This window comes from Homo sapiens, chromosome 2, assembly GCF_000001405.40.
Source record: "Homo sapiens chromosome 2, GRCh38.p14 Primary Assembly".
Classification (NCBI taxonomy): domain Eukaryota; kingdom Metazoa; phylum Chordata; class Mammalia; order Primates; family Hominidae; genus Homo; species Homo sapiens.
Window position 1 is genome coordinate 89,875,523 of NC_000002.12, and position 22,151 is coordinate 89,897,673.

Genomic DNA, 22,151 nt, shown 5'->3' on the forward strand with positions numbered 1-22,151 from the left:
AGATTCACCCACCGTCCCAACCCTCTCTGAGCAGGATCAGCCTCAGGAGGCCCTCGTGGACATGGAGACACAGCTTTCCTCCTCTTCTGCTGCTGTCAGACTCTGGTGAGGAGGGAGGACTCAGGCTTCATCCTCAGTTTGGTTGCACTAAATACAAATGTTTCCTTCACCATCAGGTAACTAGCCTTTTTGCTTTCTGATTAGAATTACATCAAACTGCAGGAACAACTATGCCTATTTATACAAATGTACATATCACATTGTGAACCCAGAACATTTGAGACAGGTATAAGGTAATTTAGAAAGTTTATTTTGCCAAAGTTTAGGACACGTTCCTGTGACACAGCCTCAAGAGGTCCTGCAGGCATGTGGCCAAGGTGGTCAGAGCGTAGCTTGGTTTTAAACATTTCAGTGAGACATGAGACATCAATCAACATATATAAAATGAACATTGGTTTGGTCTGGAAAGGCAGGACAACTCCAAGCGAAAAGCAGGGCAACTGGAAGCAGGGAGGGGCTTTCAAGTCCCAGGTAGGTGAGAGAAAAACTTGCCTTCCTTTAAGTTTCTGATTAGCCTTTCCAGAACAGGTAATTAGATATGCATTTATCTCAGGGACCAGAGGGCTGACTTTGAAAACAATGGGAGGCAGATTTGCCCTATTCAGTTCCCAGCTAGAATTTTCCCTTTAGCTTAGTGATTTGGGGAGCCCAAGATATTTTCCTTTCACAATATTTATTCGTAATATAGATGCATAGTAGATACAAAGATATCACTGCAATTTACATCTATAATATTATACATATTTAATATACAAAGTTTGTTACAAATGCATATATACATATACACATAATTTTATGTTTATTTAGCACGTGCTCCTTTTTTTTTCTAACTATAACAGAATCAGGCTCAGTCAGGACTCTGCGGACATTTGCTGACCTCTTTGGCTCCAGCACAGTCCTGGTCATTGAGAGCCAGTGAGAACAGAGCTGAGAGCAGCCCACCCCAGGAGCTTGGGCCCAGCCCCAAGGCCCTTGTCTCTGAGACTTTCCTCCTGGTGGCAGGCTCTGGGCTTGAAGCAGTGCCCATGAGTGTGTGAGCAGTTTCCTTCCCTGAAGCCCCTGTGAGGCAGACCTGTGGGCAGAGCCTTTGGTTCCCAGGTCCTCAGCCCCTTGTCTCAGTAGAGCAGCTGCTTCCTCCACAGCCCAGGGCCAGAGCCCAGCAGCTTTCAGACAGTGCAAGTCTGACCTTAGCCCTGATTTAAGGATCTTATTATAAATGTCTCTACAAGTATTCTGGTAACTGAAAGTATGTCCTTGACTTACATAAATGCATAGGCTACATTTCCACAATTGCTGAAACTAACAAGGTCATGTGAGAAATTTAAAATTTGACTTCGTTTTCATCCTCAGGGCCCGGCTTCTTCGAATGTTGCAGTATGAAGATGCACCTAGCTTTTCTCCTCCTCATACAACTTTCCTTAAAAGCACAGTGGAATTTAAAATTTTGTCACCTACAGAGCAGCCACCCTCTCCTCTTTTAGTGTATAGGGCGCTGTCTCTGTCCTGCTGTGCATGACAAGGACACTGAGCCGCTCCCAGCCCAGGAAAGGAGCAAGGTTTAGGTGGACATGTGATCAGCTCCACAATGAGATGTCATGGGTGTGAAGGAGGGGCAGGACTTCTGGAGAAAATGGTGATCCGTCATAAAAAGAGGGGTGATGAAGAGCTTTGCCCTTCATTTCCTCTTTGGGCAGTTACCAGAGGACATGAAGCTTACAGTCCCTGCAGCCTTCTTGAGACCATGAGATGTTGAGCCCAAGACAGAAAAACCAATGTGGTCAAGTTTACCAAGCAGTAATGTAGAAAGAATCTGGGGCCTTTCTCCTGTCACCAAGCTGCTGTATTAACCCTGAATGTGCCAAACTTCAGATCTCTTCTCATTGCTTAAGCCATTGTTATTCTTTCACTTGTTTCTAAAATTATTGTCGCTTATCCTTGAATGATACTGAAGAAAAAGAGCCTCGTTGGCCATAGACCTGCCCTTTAGGAGAAGAAATGCATTATCATGCGTGTGTATGTGTGTGTTTGTGGGTGTCAAAGGCAGTAAAAGCAAGAACCAGAATAAGTGATGTCCTTTCCTGACATCTTGGCTCTGCTGTATTTATAGCTAAGGAAACCCAAACCACTGCAAAGAGTTCATAATTTCTGCTCTCTTCCTGTCTCAGTTTCATGTTTTATATCTTAAGGATGAACATCTTTTTGTTGTCCCTAATTCCTCCCTCCTTTATGATCATGAAATTAAAATAGTGGTCAAGAAAGAGACAAGAACACTTGAAGAAGACATAAAATCTGTGGACTGTACACATCTCCTCAACAGCGACATCATGCTAGCAGTTTTCTCCTTCTTCTCAGTGGTTTTTGATGGGAAGATGCTAACTCCTCCAACCAGGTATCTATCAGAGGTTGCGTTTGGAGGGCTTACAAAGAAAAGCTTCCAGGCAGTTAGTGCTGGATTCTGGGGAGTGTAGCAGGAGGGTGAGTCTGGATTCCCAGCATGGGGAGGCCAGAGTGAATTCTGAGAAAGGCTGTGCATGTGGGAAGAAAAGAATTAGAACTCAGAACTGTGGTCACAACCTTAGGAGCCAAAGAATGAGACACTAACACAAATGCAGCTCAGAGACAACTCAGACTAAAAGTGTTATGATCAATTGTCATCTTGTTTGTCTTTCTAATACCACACATAAAGAGTAGGTAGAATTGTTTACAGTGGAAGCTATGCACATGAAACCCCACTGCCCTTAGTGATGCACTTGCTTGTTGTAGAATAAATATTGAAGAATTTGAATTGAAAGTGATGTCTGGCTAGTAATATCTTACATAGCCTTTTTATTCCAGCATGGTCAAGGGTACATAAAAAGAGGACTGGATATATATATATTAGAAAGATAAACAAGATGACAATTGATCATACATATATATATATATTTACACACACACACACATACACACACACACACACACACACATACTTCAAGGCCCATCATCTGATTAAGTCCTCAGGAGACCCCTTGATATACACAGTGTTCCATTTCACAGATGAAGAAACCAATGATCAGAGCTCATGGATGGTTTATGCAAAATCACATGATCAGCACATGTGGGCTGGAATTTGAACCCAAGTCTGTGTGGCTTTATTATATTTCTTTCATGCAGCCACTTTCATCCCATAGTTGAGCCCACAGTCTATAATAAGGGAGAAGACACCGTAGGGACAGTGTGGACTCCACAGCTTCCTGCTCTCTCTGTCTTACACCATGCTGACCTTAATCGTAAACTAGCCCCATCTGCAGTTTTCCCTAGAAAACACAACTCTGTCAATGTCTTTGTGAGTTGCAAATGACTTTATTTTGGACTTGTGAGGAAGGACACATCTTTCTTTTCTCTGGCCCCTTCTACATCTCCTCTTTCTCTTCCAATTTCCCTGGCTCAGTCTGTCCCTCTCAGAATGTGTTCTGCAAGTCTAATTTGCCCTCCTAATATAAAAACAAACCAAAGAACAATCTCCCCTCCTCTCACGTGCTATGACAGCTGATCTCTAGGCTCTCAGATACCCAGATTGTTCCAGAGCCAATCAAGGGATCTGACCCAAGACATTTTCTGCCTTAGAGGAATTCTGGTGCTACCTCCTCTCAAAATAATATGTTCTCTGTCTTTTCAAAATTGACGGGAAATTATTACAAGGTGAAGATATTTGGGAGAACAAGAACAGCCATGCACTGAGGAGATAAAAGCCATCTCTTCCTCTTGCATTAATATCCTATTGCTGTTGGAACAAATTAGTATGACCTCACTGGCTTCATACAACACAAATGTATTATCTTACAGTTCTGAAAGTCAGAAGTCTCACTGAACTAAAATCAAAGAGTGAGCAGGGCTGTATTATTTCTGAAGGCTCCAAGGAAGAGAATTGGATACTAAGTTTTCATCTTCAAGATCTCTCAGATTCCTTGCTTCTTGGCCCCATTCTGCCACAACAGCATTCCCCTCCATTGTCCGGGCTCCTCTCCAATTGTGACCCTCCTGTATTTTCTATTATAAGGACCTTGTGATTACATTGGTTTGAGACAGGCAATCTAGGATACTCTCCTCATGTCAAATTTCTTAACTGAATCACATCTGCCGAGTTCCTCTTGACATATAAGGTAACATTCATAGATTCCAAATATTAGGACATAAATATAATTAGGGTGGGGGGTCCTTATTTATCCCCAAAACAACTCCCATTATTCCCACAACTGCCCACCCCTAAAGTCAAATGAAAATTCACAAGGCTGTTTTATGAGGCAAGGAAGCAGGAAATAATTTGTGATTTGGAGACTCTCTGACCTGTGGGTTTTAAGAGTAGGGGTTAGTTATTCCACCGCCTCTAATGTGGACCTCATGGTGTGCTGCTATTTTTTTTTTTTTTTTACTGAGACAAAGTCTCTCTCTCTGTTTCCCAGGCTGGAGTGCAGTGGTGCGATCTTGGCTCACTGAAACCTCCGCCTCCCGGGTCCAAGCGATTCTCGTGCCTCAGCCTCCCGAGTAGCTAGGATTACAGGTGCCTGCCACCATTCCCCGCTAATCTTTGTTTTTTAGTAGAGACGGGGTTTCACCATGTTTGCCTGGCTGGTCTCAAACTCCCGACCTCAGGTGATCCACCCACCTCGGCCTCACAAAGTGCTGGTATTACAGGTGTGAGCTACCTCACTCGGCCTGTGTGCTGCTATTTTAAGAAGCTTCTTTTATTTTGTGAGTCAGAAGAAAGGGATTACTGCATAAATCAAATTTAAGATAGATGGGCAAAAAGAAATTTAGTGTTTTCTGATTTTTGTATGCATCAAAAAAGGAGAAATAATAAGAACTAAGACAAGAGGCCAGGTGCAGTGGGTCACGCCTGTGATCCTAGCACTTTGGGAAGCTGAGACAGGCAGTTCACCTAAGGTCAGGGGTTCGAGACCAGCCTGGCCAACATGGTGAAACCCCATCACTACTAAAAATACAAAAATTAGCCGGGCGTGATAGCAGGCACCTGTGATCCCAGCTACTTGGGAGGCTGAGGCAGGAGAACCACTTGAACCTGGGAGCCAAAGGTTGCAATGAGCCAAGATTGTGCCATTGCACTCCAGCCTGGGCAACAAAACAAGACTCAGTCTCAAAAAAAAAGGAGAGACAAGAGATGTAGCCCTCCCAAGAACTGGGATTTGTCCACTGTGTTGGGTTGTGTCCACCAACAAGAAGGATTTCTATGCATGCAGCATATTTACAATGGGAGGGAAGGAGGAAAGTGAGGCAGAGAACAGAGGTTGAAGGTTAAAGTCACCTCAACAAGCCACCTAACTCTTAGGATAACTGAAGCTCAACCCCATTTGGAAACACGGGGAAAATGTCCCTGGGCTATTCTAGCTGAGAGGGGAGGGAGCTGGGGTATGTATACATATCCTTCTGTCATCACCAATTGAGGGCTGTCTGTCTAAGTCTGTTTTGTGCTGCTATAACAGAATACCTGAGACTGGGTAATCAGTAAAGAACATTCTGTCACATTTCTGGAGGATGGGAAGTCAAAGATTGAGTAACTAGCAGCTTGGGATCCAATTTCTGTGCTTTCAAGATGGAATTTGAATGCTGAGTCCTTCAGAGAGAAGGAAGGCCATGCCCTGGCCTGACAATAGCAGAAGTGAGAGACTGGGAGCTCGCTCTCATAATTGAGATAGTTCAGGGATCTGACCCCTTCTTAGGGGTCTTTGAAGCTTCCCCAGACATGGAAATAAAGGAAAATCTTGGGTCTTTTCAAGGGAAATGTTAGGTGTCCAGCTAAGCCTTGAGAAGTAAACAAGCAACATGAGAAGCAAGGAGATGATAATAGACTAAAACAATAGTCAAAGAAGCTAAAAATCACATTATGTTTTATTCCTCTACAGAAACTAAAGAGAACATCTCAGCATATGTCTCTGAGTTGTTTTTCAGAAACCCAGATCTCCAACAAATGGATCCGCCAGCACATAGACTTCACATAAGGGGAAACAGGGGACTGAAATTTGACCATGGTTCTTTGTTCTGAATTTCCACCTGAGGGGCCTGGAGAAAGTCACACCCACAGGCCAGAGCCAACATTCCTTTGTGCTGACCCCAATTTTTAAACAAAGCTTTTCTTCCTTAATCAATTGCACATCAGAAAATTTTTCAATCTACTCATGACCTGTAAGATATTCTGCTGCTTCATGATATCCTGCCCTCTTAGGCCAAAGCCAATGTGTAACCTCCATGTATTGATTTACAATTTTGCCTGTAACTTTTGATTCCCTGAAACTTACCTGGGCTTTTAAAAGCCATTATTTGTAAGCCATTAGAGAGATCAAGATTTAAGCATTAGCTGTCTGGTCCTCTTTGCTTGACGTCCTGCAAATAAATGTCTTTTTTCTCCTACTGCAAACTCAGTTTGGATAACTGGTTTTACTGCACTGAGCAAGCTGAATCCAGTTTGGTTCCATAATAAAAGCCCTTTTTATAGTAGCATTAATCTATTCATAAGGGCAGAACCTTCAGTATTTAAACACTTCTCATTAGGCCCCACCTCTCAATTCTGTTGCATTATGGATTAAATTAACAGTGGATGAAATTGAGGGGATACAGTGAAACCATAGCACTGTCTGAGGAAAGACTCATTCCAAGCCCTGTGGTCTGCCATGCGTGTAGGCGGAGCTGCCTTTCTCAGAGAGGGCAGAGATGGCCATGGGGAATCAGCAGAAGTACGGTGAAAGGGAAAGTCCTCAGTGCAGACAGGGACTGCTCCAACCGTTTAGAAAAAAGCACCTGTATTTTCCACCTGGAGCTGCAACCTTCTGGAATGGTGTTTCCTGGCAGGTCAGTTGCAAATGAAGGAATCTGGGAAGTAACATCTCAAGATATGCTACATTGGTATTGTGATTGCTTCAAACTGAAGGTGTTTAGAAAACAACAAATATATAAAGGGGCTTTTCCTAAATCTCCCTTACCTGTCTAAGGGCAGTTTCTCCAGAAGGAAGCCAATTGTCATGAAAACCCTCCCTGGGAATGTTTATCTACCAGGGAATATTAACATGCACTAGAAGTTAAATCCAGAAAAGATTGAATGTTGACTTTATCCAGACAGGCTACTACCTATCCTTTTCAGGACCCTTTTCTTTTATTTTAGGTTATTTACTCTCCCTTAGTTGTCTATACTCTCTACTTCCCTCTTCCCTATAAAGGATGTAGAAGCACCTGGACCTCACTGGGTTATTTGGGTAATCCCTCTCGTGTGTTATCCCCACACCCCCACCCCACATGTTAAATACATTTGTTTGCCTTTTTTTCTATTAATTTGTCTTTTGTCTATTCATTTTCAGCAAACCTTTAGAAGGTTTGCTTTTCTCTTTCCCCTTTTCCCTCTACAAAAGCAAGTTCCCTTAACATTCAGGTCCCTGAATAGACAGAAGGAGGGTGTGTGCAGAGCTTACACCACAGTGATTTGACCACTCCTAGTCAGGCATGAGTAATACTTTCCAGAACCCAGGCTACAGCCCACAGACGCTGATGTAGTTGAATGCTGCTGCTGAAGCAGGCTGAGATGTCTTGGGCCCTGTTAGAGATGTGAGATATGATTGGGTGCAAATCCATTACCAGTTTTATTAGGATCCAATTAATTTCTCCATATGTATGGAAATTTGCTTGATAAGAGGTGGAGACTCTGTTCTGGATGTGAGACAGGAGGCTGGTATGTGGATCAGAATGATGTTCCCACTCACTGCTAAAAAGTAAAAGAGGAAAGTGGCATTCATCGTGCAAGGCAGGGACATGCACTGAGCAGCAGCTGCCCTCACTGGGAGGGAGGACTTACTGTCCTGATCTTTTCCAAAGTCTCTCCATCACCTGCTCTCCAGAAATCCAGGATTCAGAGGAGCTGTACCTGAGCACCCAGGAACATGCTGGTGGGGAGTTCAGCATTACTCAGGGGATGCAATCTTGGTCTTCCTACTTGTGGAGACAACTGAACCCTGGATAATTTCAAGTTTATCCTAATCCAGACTCTGATAAATGCAGGAAGAAACTAGTTATTTAAGTCAATCAGATCTGGCATCACTAGTCAGCTCTTCATGCTGAGAACCCCTGGGAAATAATACTTAATGGCAGAAGAGAGGGTAAAATATAGAGATCACCAAACCAAAAATAAGATGCAGCTTATATAATCTCTGGGTATTAAGGTGGCTTACAGGTTTAAATAATGGTGAATCTGTGAGTGATACCGGCCTTGAGGACTTGTGGTTTCATTTTTATGCATCTGTAGTGAATTGCGTGACCATACAGTCATGTAAGAATGGCTTAAGGTCATTACAAAATACTTTCAAATATATTTAGCATTATCTTGTAAAATTGTCTCTTTTTTTTAAGAAGGAACCATTTCACTCTCACAGAAATGTTATAAGTATGGAACAAAGTATCCTCTCCTTTGCAGAGTATATTCAAGACTTGATGTTCCCACCCTCTAAAACTTTACTGAGTTTCCTACAAATAAAAATATTCCCCTGGCTGGACGTGGTGGCTCATGCCTGTAATCCCAGCACTTTGGGAGGCTGAGGCGAGGGGGTCATCTGAGGTTAGGAGTTCGAGACCAGCTTGGCCAACATGGTGAAACCCCATTTCTACTACTAAAAATACAAAATTAGCCTGGCATGGTGGTGCGCACCTGTAGTCCCACCTACCCTGGAGGCTGAGGCAGGAGAAATCGATGGTACCTGGCAGGTGGAGGTTGCAGTGAGGTGAGATCGTGCCACTGCACTCCAGCCTAGGTGACAGAACGAGACTCTGTCTCAAAAAAAAAAAACCTTAATTAATCCCCATATACAAATAGAAAACATTACTTCATCGAGTACTCAAGAGTATTTCAAATATTAACAATTATTAAAAAAAAAAGTTCTTTGTTACAAAACGGCCCCAAGAGGAAACATGTTCTTACAGACAAATCTGTGCTACCCTCCTCTGACTTGGGACACTGGGGACACGAGGGACTGGCTCAGAGATGAGCCAGCCCCGCAGCTGTGCCCAGCCTGCCCCAACCCCTGCTGATTTGCATGTTCCCAGAGCACAGCCCCCTGCCCTGAAGTCTTCTTAACAGGCTGGTCACACCCCGTGCAGCAGTCAGTCCCAGTCAGGACACAGCATGGACATGAGGGTCCCCGCTCAGCTCCTGGGGCTCCTACTGCTCTGGGTCCCAGGTAAGGAAGGAGAACACTAGGAATTTACTCAGCTGGTGCGCTCAGTATAGCCTGGCTCTTCAGGGAGGTCTTCTTATAACATGATGGATTGAATGGATGTTTGTTTTTATATTTCCAATCTCAGGTGCCAGATGTGACATCCAGTTGACCCAGTCTCCATCCTCCCTGTCTGCATCTGTAGGAGACAGAGTCACCATCACTTGCCGGGTGAGTCAGGGCATTAGCAGTTATTTAAATTGGTATCGGCAGAAACCAGGGAAAGTTCCTAAGCTCCTGATCTATAGTGCATCCAATTTGCAATCTGGAGTCCCATCTCGGTTCAGTGGCAGTGGATCTGGGACAGATTTCACTCTCACTATCAGCAGCCTGCAGCCTGAAGATGTTGCAACTTATTACGGTCAACGGACTTACAATGCCCCTCCCACAGTGTTACAAGGCATAACATAAACCCCCCAAGGAAGCAGATGTATGGGGCTGGCCTGCCCCAGATACTCCTCCTACTGCCTCCAGCTGCTCAGAGCGTTTCTCATATTCCAGTCAAGCTTTGAAAGTCACTGAAAAGTTTTGATGGAAGGGGCCATGAAGACTCTGAAACTGCCTTTGCAAAAATCATAACTGAGAAAATTATGACGGTGGAAGATATTACACAGCCAGCTCTGTGTGAATTACTCTTTCACTACTGCTATTGCCGTGTCTTGATAAATCGACTCTGTCTAAGCAGCAGGCAAGGTGAACCCCTTGGGCGATTACAACTCCTCTATACCTTAACTGTTTTTCCTTCTCATCCCCTGCAGCACAAACATGGTAATACTGTTCCTGATTTCATTAAGAAAAGAGACGATTACACCTGAGTCTTGGCTATGGTGTGAGTTGGAATCAATACCACAAAGGAAAACCTACTCTTGGAATTCCAAGTCTATTTTTTTTTTTCTAAATACACGCAATGAGAGTCTAAACTACAGCCTCTGGGAGGCTTGGGAGCATGGTACTCAAAGATGCAAATAATTAGAAAACGATTCTCTGGATCTCCCCAAGAATCCAGAGAGCATCTGGTGCAGAAGGTATAATTGCCAATCATGTGGTCCTCAGACATGTCTGGGAAGCCCATGTTCGGGGCTGTTGATGCGCTGCCTGGAGGACCTTCCTGATTTTCTATGGCATCTGCTTACAATTGACCAGCCCCCTATTCAAAGCTTGCCGTGTTGCATCTCAACTCTTGTCCGTGGGACCCCAAGTCTCTAGCCACATCCAATTCTTCACAGAAGCTGGATGTATGTGCCAGGGCAAGGAGAACTGGGTGGGAGGTGAGTCTGTGGGCTCCACAGCTTCACGTGTTTATGAGGTAGGAGTTATTAAGATATTATTTTAGGCAGATAGAGAGGAAAAAAGGGATCCTTGGGAGACTTTTCACAGCTGTTGTCTAGCATGAAAGCCCTGGGTCTTAGCCCCGGGCAGGCAACCTTTTATATGCAAATGCAAGCCGTTAGAAACTGGGTCCATCCAACATGCACCCAACATGGTGATTTCCACCGTTGTCCTCTTGCCCTTGCCCCAACATGCGCCTGGCAGCATGGTTGCCCCTACATATCCCCACGTGTGTGGAACATCATGGCGCCCTGTATTTGCATATTAAAAGGCTAGGGTGGGAGGGCCAGTTCTTTCGAGGGCTACCGTGAATGACATGTCTGGTCAAACCAATACCCTGAGCCCTGTGCAAATCAGACACCGCCTCCTCCAGCCATCAAATATAGCTGGCTGATATTACCTGAAAGAGTGGTTCGTCCCTCGGCTTTGGAGCCCCCCTCCCTCTGTCTTTGTACAGGGGAGCTTCATCCTTCTTTCTTCCCCCTTCTTTCTTGCCTATTAAACTCCCTGCTCCTTAAAACTATTCTAAGTGTGTCAGTGTCATTTTTTCTCATTTGACTCGAGACAAAGAACCTGGTGTCCTCTACTCATCAGAGCAGTATCATTTATTCCAACATGATAGAGTCACATGGTCTATGCCCAGGGAAAAGAATTCATATTTTTGTCTTATGAATAATCAAGGTTCACCTCCAGGGAACAATGAACAGTACTCTGATTAAGATCTTGAAAAAAAAAAAGAGTTCCCTTCTGGCTGGTAAATAATGGGTTTATTTTAGAAAGTCTACTTTCATGACATGAATCAAAACTTGAAAAATGTAACTATAAATCAATATCATAAAAGAAATCATGAAAGTTGTTCATAATGGAAAGCCAGCCTTTATCTCCTGCAGGTCTAGTTAGAGCCTCCTGTATAATAATGGAAACACCTATTTGTATTGGTACCTGCAGAAGCCAGGCCAGTCTCCACAGCTCCTGATTTATGAGGTTTCCAACCAGGCCTCCGAATTCTCAGACAGGTTCAGGGGTAATGGGTCAGGTACTGAGTTTACACTGAAAGTCAGTAGGACGGAGACTAAGGATGTTGGAGTTTATTAGAAAACTTGAACTTCCATCAATGATAAATATTCCTTTTGCCTCAAGCACATATTTGAGGAATTTTCCATTGAGTAGATCTACCGATAAGGTCACATTTTTCTGTCTGTTTTAATCTGAATATGTATTTATATGATTCTCAGAAATGTTTTTTGACTATGAAATTATATTTGTGAGACCTTTTTTCAAGTTGTTGTTTACCATTTGATAATTACTGCTGAAACGTCATCTATTAAAAAAAATCGGTCATCCGTTCTCTAACTCTCATTGAAAGGAATTTGCCTTTTTAAACCCCTCAGACTCTTTTTAAGCTTTTCAATTGGCCTTATCTTTTTTTTACAGATTCAATGTATTAAGTCAATTTATTATTTATGATAAATTTATTTATTTATTTATTTTTACTATCACAAAATTTAAAAATCCTGTAAGTTGCTATGTCAAACCTGCCTCTAGATTGCAAACAAACCCCACAAAAAAGAGAGTACCATTATCTTAGAAATACTAGAAAAGCAAGAGTGATAGTGTCCCATTGTTAACAGGGACCCCATAAGGCTAGAATAATGTCCCACATGTTACCTGGGGCACCTGGGAGGAGCTGCCACTGTGCTGAATGGTGGGAAAAAGCCATCTGTGCTCTGAGACTGGAAGCCTGGCCCTATTCCCCTATGTGGATGTAGGAGATAATTGGGGTTATAAAGGGGTAATTACGGTTAAATGAAGTCATAAGGGTGGGGCTCTGATCCAATAGGATTAGTGTCCTTATAAGGACAGAAACCAGAGAACTCTTCTCTTTTCCTTTATTTCTCTAACTCACTGCTTCCCTATGGAAAGGCCATGAGAAGACATGGTGAGAAGGTGACTACCTGTAAACTAGGAAGAAGGTTCTAACCAGAAAGTGAACCTTGCTGGAACTTGATCTTGGACTTTCCAGGCTTGTGAACTATGAGAATAAATTTCTCTGGTTTAATCTACCCAGCCCAGGGTATTTTGGTGTAGCAGTGCAAGAAGGCCCATCCACTGTCCCCACCCTCTCTGAGCAGGATCAGCCTCAGGAGGCCCTCATGGACATGGGTGCCCAGCTTTGCCCCTCTTCCTCCTGCTTTTCTGACTCTCTGATGAGGAAGAAGAACTCAGACTTCGGCTTCAGATAGTTTGTATTAAACATGAACATTTCCTTGATAATGAAGTTATAGTTTGTTTATCTTTCTGTCACCTGCAGGGCCAGGTGATACAATTTCAACAAAAGTATATCAATTTCTATACAATTGTACATATTATTTTAATGTGAAATGTAGAAACATAGCGTATACATCTATCTCAATATATAATTAATATTCAAAATATTATATGTATTTAATAAAGTTTACATAATATGTATGCATATATTATTTGTTGAGCATGTGCTCTATTTCTTTGTCATCAGAACAGAATCTGGCTCAGCAAGAGCCCTGGGGACATTTGCTCACCCTCTCCCTTTGCTTCCAAGAAGGTCCTGACTGCTTATATACAATGAGAACAGAGCTGAGAGCAGCCTACTCCAGGAGCCCAGGCCCAGCTCTAAGGTCCTGGTTTCTGAGGCTTTCACCATGGCCCCAGGCTCGGGCTTGGTGCCGCGCCCATGAGTGTGTGAGCAGCTTTCTTTCTTGAATCCTTTGCCAGGCAGCCCCATGGACAGGGCCTGTGGTTCCTCCCAGGTCCTCAGCCTCATAGTTCAAGAAAGCAGCTGTTTCTTTCACAGCCCAGGGCCAGAGCCCAGCAGCTCTCGGTCAGTGCAGGCCTGACCTTAGCCCTGGTTTGAGGACTTTATTTCTAATCTCTTCTCTTTTATTCCAGTACCTGAAAGTCTGTCCTGATCTTAATTGCATAAGCCACATTTCCAAAACTGCTGAAGCTAACATTGCCATCTAGAATATTAAAAATTTGACTTCACTGTCATCCTCAGGGCCTGGCTTGTTCCAACTCCACCAGACCAAGAGGCTCTTGAGATCTCTCCTCCCCACACAACTTAATTTAGAAGCATAGTGAGGTTTAAATGTTGCCAAGCTCTTGACACTCTCTGAGCAGCCATCCCCCTTCTCCTTTGGTGTAGAGGGCACCAGCTCCTTTCTGCCATGCCTGGTGAGGACAGTGAACCTCTCTCAATTTAGGGCTGGAGTGAGGATTAAGAGCATGTGTGGTCACCTCCACCATGAGATGGTAGGGGAGTAGGTGGGCAGGGCTTCTGGGGAGAATTTGATTCCTCATAAATAGAAGGAAGGTGAAGAATTTTGCCCCACATTTTTTCCTGGAAGAGTTTTTAGTGGATATGACACTAATGTCCTTAGCTTAGAGCTGTTGCAGTCCTCTGGAGATCATGAGGACTTGAGTCCAAGACTGAAAATCCAATGTGGGGAAGGTGAACCTGGTTTCCTCATGCTGCCCCCAAGCTGCTGCACCAACCCTAATACTCCAACCTTCAGACTTCTGATCTTTGCTTAAGCTTTTGCTATTGTTTCTTTCCATTGCTTCTAAAGTTACTTTCATTTATTTTATTTCATTTATGAGAAAAGGTACTCAAGGGAAGAAACAGAGCCTTAAATTTGCTCTTTAGGAGAAGACAGGCATTTTTATGTGTGTGTGTGTTCATGGGAGTCTGAGGCGTGAAGGGCAGGAATTGTAAGTGCAGTGCTCCCCTGAGATCTTGGTCATTCTATGCCCATGGCTAGAAAAACTCAAATCACTTTGAAGAACTTATAAATTCTGCTGTCTTTCCCTCTCCATTCCTCTTTTTATATCCTAAGCATGAAATAAATGCCTGTTCTTAATTCCTCCCTGCTCCAAGATCATACATATATAATTGTGGTTAAGAAACAAAAATAGTTGGAGAAGACATAGAAACAGGGGATTTTATGCATTTCATTAACAACAAAGTGTGTTTGCAGGTTTCTCTTTCTTCTTAGCACTTTTTGCTGGGAATGTTACTGGTTAAAGATATTCTAGTTGCTAGTGGCAAATCCGTATGAGTCTGCAGCAACCTCAATCCTTGGCCTGCGGCAACCTCAATTCTTGCCTCCTCAGAAGAAAGAATGCGACTGAGGGGCATAAGGGAGAAAAAGAGACCAAGGTAAATTTCAGAGCAGAAGTGAAAGTTTATTGAAAAGCTTTAGAACAGGGGAGAAAGGAAAGTACACTTGAAAGAGACCAAAGTGGGCGACTTGAAGAAGAAGTCCGGTGTTTAACCTTGATTCTAGTACTTTATAGGCAGGTCTCTTTCCCATGATTCTTCTCTTAGGGTGGGCTGCCCGCATGCGCAGTGCCCTTCTTACCCTTGGGAGGTGAGCATGCTCAGTGTGTTCAGAAAGTTGTACACATGCCTATCTGAGGCTTCCTTCCCTTTTCTGGTGGTGTGCCCCTGGAAGGTCATACTTCACTGTTTTGTATTTATATTTATGTATAAATATAAATTTATGTATATATAAATTATATTTATACATAAATATAAATATGAATACATACATATAAATATACAAATATATAAATATAAATATACATAAAGTATAAATGTGAATACAAAATATAAATTTATTTATAAATATAAACATTTTATTTTTATTTTTGTATTTATATTTATTGTATTATTTATTTTAACATGCCTGGGAAGTTGCATTTCCCTGGTGCTTGCATTCAATTAACACCTTAGTGCAAAAGGTGTGGACCATCAGGAAATGGCCTCCCTCTAGTGCCAGCTGCCAACTTATCACTTTTAGAGAGGCAATGTGATCATTGCTGAACCATCACCCCACATTCCTAGTGGGTGGGGAAAGAGACCTCTCCTGCCCATCTCATGCCTGTCTAACTGCCCGTAACAGGAAGATGCTGACTGCTCCAGCCAGGTTCCTGTTAGAGGTTGCATTTGGAGGGTTTACAAAGAAAAGCTACTGGCAATTAGTGCCTGATTCCAGGGAGGGTGGCAGGACATTGGGTCTGGATTCTCAAAATGGAGGAGGCCAGAGTGAGAAAGGCTGTGGGTGTGAGAAGAAAGACCTTAGAACTCAGACCTGTGGCCACAGCCTTAGGACCCTGAGAGTGGGGACCACTTATCAAGGAACAAGGAGCAAAGAAGAAGTTGGGTAATATTTGAGGGATTATCTTGCAGGTGGAAGATAATGGAGGTTTGCATTGGGGTGAAGTGGTGGGGTAGAAGTCGGGGGAGTGGTCAGGTTTGGGACACATTTGGGGTCTATGATTATTGTCTGCACTTCGTTCATTACAAGGCACTTGGTGCAATGAGCAGTGCATGCAGCGCTTATAACTATTCTCGATTTTTTCATTATTATTTATTTATTTTTCATTATGATTTATTTTTATTGAGAATTTCTCTGATTGCTGGTGCTCAGGAAGAAGGTGTCTCCTTTCTTCTGAGGCTTTGTCTGAGTAAGCAAGATTTTTGCCTCTACTGCACGCTTTCTTTCCTGATTGTCCCTCTCTTCTGAAAGGCGATGGCCCAGGTGCTCCACTACTGAGAGTCTCAAGCTCTTACCCAAAGCCCTCAGTCTAGAGTTTTTGTTTTTTGCCGTCATGTTATCTTCTTCTTTATCAGCTTAGCAATTTAAAAAATTACTTTTTTTCTTCTGATTTGTAACTATTAAAAATTCTGTCTTAGTTAATCCTACCTATTACCTTCAGAGCAAGTAATGGACTAGCAAAATAGTATTAGGAGATCCAAATATGTGTGTTCAGGAAGAAATATGAGGAGGCAGGCTGTTCCAGAGTGCTCTGTGCAGCTGGCCCTGCAGAGTCCCTCTGTGTGGCCCTATCACTGACTGCCTTCTGTGAATCAGATATTCTGATGAAAGTCCTGGTGAATCCTGTAGCCAGGGGCCACCTACACCCTCCATGAAGACCAAATCCTATAGTCAGGGGCCACCCACACCCTCCATGAGGGCCAAAAGCCTCTGAAGACAATAAGAGGTCGAGAGAGTCATAGCTCATGACTGTCCTCTGTAGAGACAGCTTCTTCCCAGATGGCTGAGGGCTGTCTGTGGCTATGTCTTTTCTTGTACATGATAGCGGGGACTGGGCAGATCTCTATGCAAACCCGAGCAAGACCTTCCTGTGTGTTCCTCTCTGAACTCTGAACCTAGGTGGCAGTGGATACACTTAGGGAAGTGGAATGATTTGTGATCATAAGAAAGGGAGGGAAGAAGGGGGAGAGAGTGAGCGAAAGACATAGAGAGAGAATGTAACGTGTGTACAGTACCGACACTGAAACTGGGTCCTGTAATGGTTTAGCACTGAGTATCACCCCCACATTATCAGGTTCTTTTCCATGGAGCCAATTAATGTAACTGGTATGGGAAAAAGACCTTTGCAGGTATAAATTAAGAATCTAGAAACAGGGAGATTATCCTGGATTGACCAAGTGGACCCTAAATGCAATCACAAGTATCCTCCTAAGAGTGAGATAGATTGAGATTTAACACAGACAGAAGAGAAGGCAATGTGGCCACAGAGACAAAGACTGGAGGGGTATGGCCACAGTCAAGGAAAGATGCAGCCATTAGGAGCTGGGGGAGGCAAGAATAGACTCCCTCCTGGAGCCTCTGAAGGAGCCTGGCCGCCAAGGCCATGATCTTGGCCCAGAGATACTGATTCTAGATTTCTGGCCTACAAAAGTATGAGAGAGTAAACTGTTTTAAGCCATCAGATTTTTGGAACTGTGTTACAGCAGCCCAAGGACACTAATAAGAATGAAGTGCAGGGAAAGTGCAGATGAAACGTGCTCTGGTGGTTTTCAGTCTTCTTGTTCAACTTTCTACTGCTACACATAAATAGATTGATGGGAGAGGATATGGTGGGAAAACATTTACGTGAAACTTCACTGTATAGAGAGAGAGAGATCTATTAGTTAGAATAAATATTGATAATTTTTAGTTGAAAGTGACATCTGACTAGTAATATCTTACATAACGTCTTCATTCTAAGACAGTCAAGGATGCATGAAATGGACACCGGGTACTCTCTCTCTCTCTCTTTCTCTCTTCATGGGTCATGATCTGGTGAAGCCCTCAAGACACTGCTTGATATCCACAGTACTTCATTTTACAGGTAAGAAAACTGCCCATCAGAGTGCAGGGGTGATTTCCCAAAGTCACATGGTCAGCAGAAGTAGGGACTGAGATTGGAACCCAGGTCTGTCAGAACTTATATATGTTCCTTCCACATGGCCACATGTATGTATACACCTCCCCTGTCCTTACCGATTGAGGGCTGTCCTAGGGGATGCTATTCCAGACACTGTGGTCTGGCATGCATGCAGGCAGAGCTGCCTTCCCCAGCTCAGAGAGAGCAGCAGCATGACCATGGAGTCTGCCCATCTCAGAGAGAGCAGCAGCATGACCATGGAGTCTGCCCAGCTCAGAGACAGCAGCATGACCATGGAGTCAGCAGAAGTACAGTGAAGGGGAAAGGCCAAGGGTAGCAAGAGAGACGGCTACATTCAGAAAAAAAAGATGTGTATTTCAATCTAGAGCCCTATGTCTTGAACCTGGATATTAGTAGGCTGTTTACTGGCCAGTTCTCTTGAAATCCAAGCCCCCGGAAAAGCAGCAGAAGGTTTGTGCACAGACTGCACCACTGTGGTGGGACCATGCGTGATCATGAATGAGTAATACTGCCTGGAGTACCCGGGCTCCAGCCCACTGATGCTGATGTAGTTGGTTCCAATTCCCCTGCTGCTGAATCAGGTTGGGATGCCCTCAGCATAGGCAGAGGTATGAGGTACAGAGGTTCAAATTTGTTTCCAAGTTTTATCCATTTTCAGATATATCTCTGTATACATCAGCAATGACTTGGCCAGGGATGGAGACCCTGTGTCCTGGCTGTGAGACAGTGAGGCTGACATCTGGGTCAGGGTGATGTCCCCACTCACTGCAAAAGAGTAAAAGAAGCAAATGACATTGATGGTTCAAGGCAAGGGCATGTACCGAGCAGCAGCCACCCTCACCAGAAGAGAGAGTTCACTGACTTTGTCTTTCCCCAGGTCCTCCCCTTCACCTGCCCTTCAGAAAGCCAGGCTTCGGGGGAGCTGCACCTGAGACACTAGGAACATGCTGGTAGGGAGCACAGCTTGGAGCATTACCCAGGGGATATGATCTTTGTCTTCCTACTTTGGACACATTTGATTATAAGAGTCTGGATTGATACAGGGTTTCAAGTTTATCCTAATCAAGGCTCCTATAGTTCAATGAAGAAACAGAGAATCTTGTTGAACTAATCAGATCTGGCATCACTAGCCAGCCCTTTATGCGATGATCTGTAAGAAATATTACACAGTGACAGAAAAGGTGGTAGAATATTCTCCCCAAGGCAAGAATAAGGTGCTATCCATTTAATCCTTGGGTATTAAAGTGACCGATAGCTCTGGAAAATGGAGGGTCTGTGCGTGGTACATGCATGAGAAATCATGGTATTATCTTTGTGAAACTGCAGTCAATTCCTTGTCCTTATACCAGTAACAACAATGGCTTAAAGTTATGACAAACTATTTTTGAATATTGTTAAAAATGCTTCTGATAAAGTCTTATTTTCATTTTAAAAAAGACAATTCCTCACTGACAGAAATATTGTTAACACAACACAAAATATTTTTACACTCACCAAATACATTTGCCAGTAACTTGAAGACCCAAGAGCTCTACTTTCTAAGATTTTATTATGCATTCCCTGCAAACAAGGATAGTCTCCTACATACTGCCAATACAACTATAAAATGCATTACTCAATGTAGTCCTTAGGTTCGTTTAAAATTTTGGAAATTGTCCCAAAAATACGTTTTGTAATAGTATGGCCACCAAAGAGAAATGTATTATCTGCAGGTAAGTTGATGCTACCCTGCTCTGATCTGGGACCCTGGGGACACTGCCCCTGTGCTGAGTTACTGAGATGAGCCAGCCTTGCAGCTGTGCCCAGCCTTCCCCATCCTCTGCTGATTTGCATGTCCCAGAGCACAGCTCCCTTCCTGAAGACTTATTAATTGGCTGGTCACACCCCGTGCAGGAGTCAGTTTTTGTCTGGACACAGCATGGACATGAAGACCCTCATTCAGCTCCCGGGACTTCTGCCATCCTGGTTTCCAGTTAAGAAAAGAAATTACTAGCCTCTTACTCAGCCAGTGTGCTAGGTACTGCCTGGCCATTCAGGGAAGTCTTCTTATAACATGATTAATTGTGTGGATATTTGTTTTTCTGTTTGCAATTTCAGGGACCAGAAGTGACATCCAGTCACCCAGTCTCCATCCACACTGTCTGCATCTGTAAGGAGACAGCGTCACCATCACTTGCCGGGCGAGTCAGAGCATTGGTAGTAATTTAGACTGGTATCAGCAGAAACCAGGGAAGGCCCCTAAGGGCCTGATCTATGCTGCATCCAGTTTGCAATCTGGGGCTCCTTCGCGGTTCGGTGGCAGTGGATCTGGGACAGATTTTACTCTCACCATCAGAATCCTGCAGCCTAAAGATGTTGCAACTTATTACTGTCAACAGTATAAAAATTACCCTATCACAGTGTTACAAACCATAACAAACCCCCCCCAGGAAAGCAGACATGTGACGCTGGGCTGCCCCACCTGCTCTTCTTTGTGCAGCCATCTGGTGACAACACTTCTCAGACTCAGCCTGAGTTTTGAGGGTTATTGGGAGATTACGGAAGAGGGGGCCATGAAGGTGTCTCTCCACCCTAAGTCTCTTTCCTCTCATGGCAATGTCTCTTCGAATTTAGTAAAGAAAGGAGATTAGTCTACCTGAGGAGTCTGTGTTATGGGGTAATTGAAATTCTTACAGTAAAATGGAAGCCACACATTCCAAGCAGGAATTGTTTTAACTGAGTGAATTAGAATCTAAACTATAGCCTTCGAAAACCTGGCATATGTTATTCATGAAGCAGATACTAGAGATGGGGTTCTCTGATGCAAAAATATAAATATTTATTGATCTGTTTTTAAAGATACTAAGATAAAACTTAAAAATGTTGTCACTGTATCAAATATATTGCATCATATATCTATAAAAACAGTAAAATTTGTGTCATTTATGGAAAATGCACATATTTGAGTGTATATAACATACATATTAATCCATATATATTTATTTGATAACTTGTTAGCTATAAATACTATGTACACATATTCATGTGTAGATAAGATTATTTAAATATGTTTATATATATATATATATATAAGCAACACATGCATACGTATGAAATTATTGTATAAATTAAATCTGTTAAGATAATTCCAGTTACTCCCATGAAAAAAACTGATGTCCAGGACTATATATGTTACCTGCTCTGGCTACAGGGATTTCCTTTGTAATCTTTATTTCTAACACTCACCAAATGGGTATGTGCACCTGAAAATATCTTTTAGTGGAGGGGTAAAGGATATGAAGAAAGGTAATTTTGCCTAATGTTAAAATTAGGCAAAATGTTAAAATTTCACAATGATGCCTGCTGGGCAGAGTTCTAAATTGGGTGCTGGACCAAAGCCACACCCCTGCCATCATCAAGGATGCCCTGGAAGACTAGAAATCACAATAGTGGGTTAACTACAAGGGTATATCATTGGCTACTTTGCAAAGAGAGGCTGGTAATGCAATGACATTGATTATTAATTTGCACAGGTCATTAGGTCTCAGAAGAAACAAAACTTAAGGACAAAATTGGTTTAGAAGAGCTGTGACTGGATCTTTCAAAATGGGCCAAGATCAAAAATAAATGCTACCCAAGTGAATACTCATCTAAATGCCATTGCCTAGCAGGGAACTCTTAATAATTAAGGTGATCCAACACATGGACTTCAGTCAGTCACCTTTCCCAGGGAGTCTCATGAACTTAAGCCATGGAGATTTATGCATCTGAATTTCATTTAATGAGGCTCACAAGGCTAATGGCACATCTGAGTATCTGACTTGCCAAAAACCATGACCCTTCCTGAAACCCTAACATTGTACTACACATCTGAGATCAGACTAACAGCTGGTATCAGGTGAGTACATTGGACCTAACCCAACACATTGGGGTGGGGGTGGTTATTTTCCTATATGTACATTTGCCTTTCTTATCAGCCATGTTTCTGCTAGAATAATTACTTGAAAGTTTTTCAAGTGCTTTCAAGTCAAGAAACCCTTACATAATTTATCATTGGAAAAAGTAACTTTATTATAGCAAAAAAAAAGTAAGGCAAAGTAGGTTCATGATGCTGTCATGTGTACAGAGGCAGCTATCCCTACAGACAGGAGAAACCCCATTACTAGGCAGGTGAAGTGAGCACACAAACCCTTGTAATGTCAAATCACTGTCTTGCCAGATGTGGCGGAGGCCCCAAAACACCAAGGTGTATGGTATTGTTACTCCCATCAAGAGAATAGTGGTATCTGAGACATGGGG

General features: G+C 43.0%; 2 pseudogenes, 1 gene segment (V, D, J or C) and 1 further gene, besides 4 other annotated features; all 4 read left to right on the forward strand.

Moving 5' to 3' along the window:
• IGK (immunoglobulin kappa locus) overlaps positions 1–22,151 on the forward strand; it is a 1,378,008-nt gene that overhangs the window by 1,018,162 nt on the left and 337,695 nt on the right.
• Positions 9,218–9,272: a sequence feature (IGKV1D-37 leader sequence).
• IGKV1D-37 (immunoglobulin kappa variable 1D-37 (non-functional)) lies at positions 9,218–9,692 on the forward strand. The segment is given in 2 exon segments: positions 9,218–9,272; positions 9,397–9,692. Coding segments are annotated over 2 exon segments (351 nt in total).
• Positions 9,397–9,407: a sequence feature (IGKV1D-37 leader sequence).
• IGKV2D-36 (immunoglobulin kappa variable 2D-36 (pseudogene)) lies at positions 11,499–11,732 on the forward strand (annotated as a pseudogene). The gene is given in 1 exon segment: positions 11,499–11,732. A coding segment is annotated over 1 exon segment (234 nt).
• Positions 19,792–19,846: a sequence feature (IGKV1D-35 leader sequence).
• On the forward strand, positions 19,792–20,266 carry IGKV1D-35 (immunoglobulin kappa variable 1D-35 (pseudogene); annotated as a pseudogene). The gene is given in 2 exon segments: positions 19,792–19,846; positions 19,971–20,266. Coding segments are annotated over 2 exon segments (351 nt in total).
• Positions 19,971–19,981: a sequence feature (IGKV1D-35 leader sequence).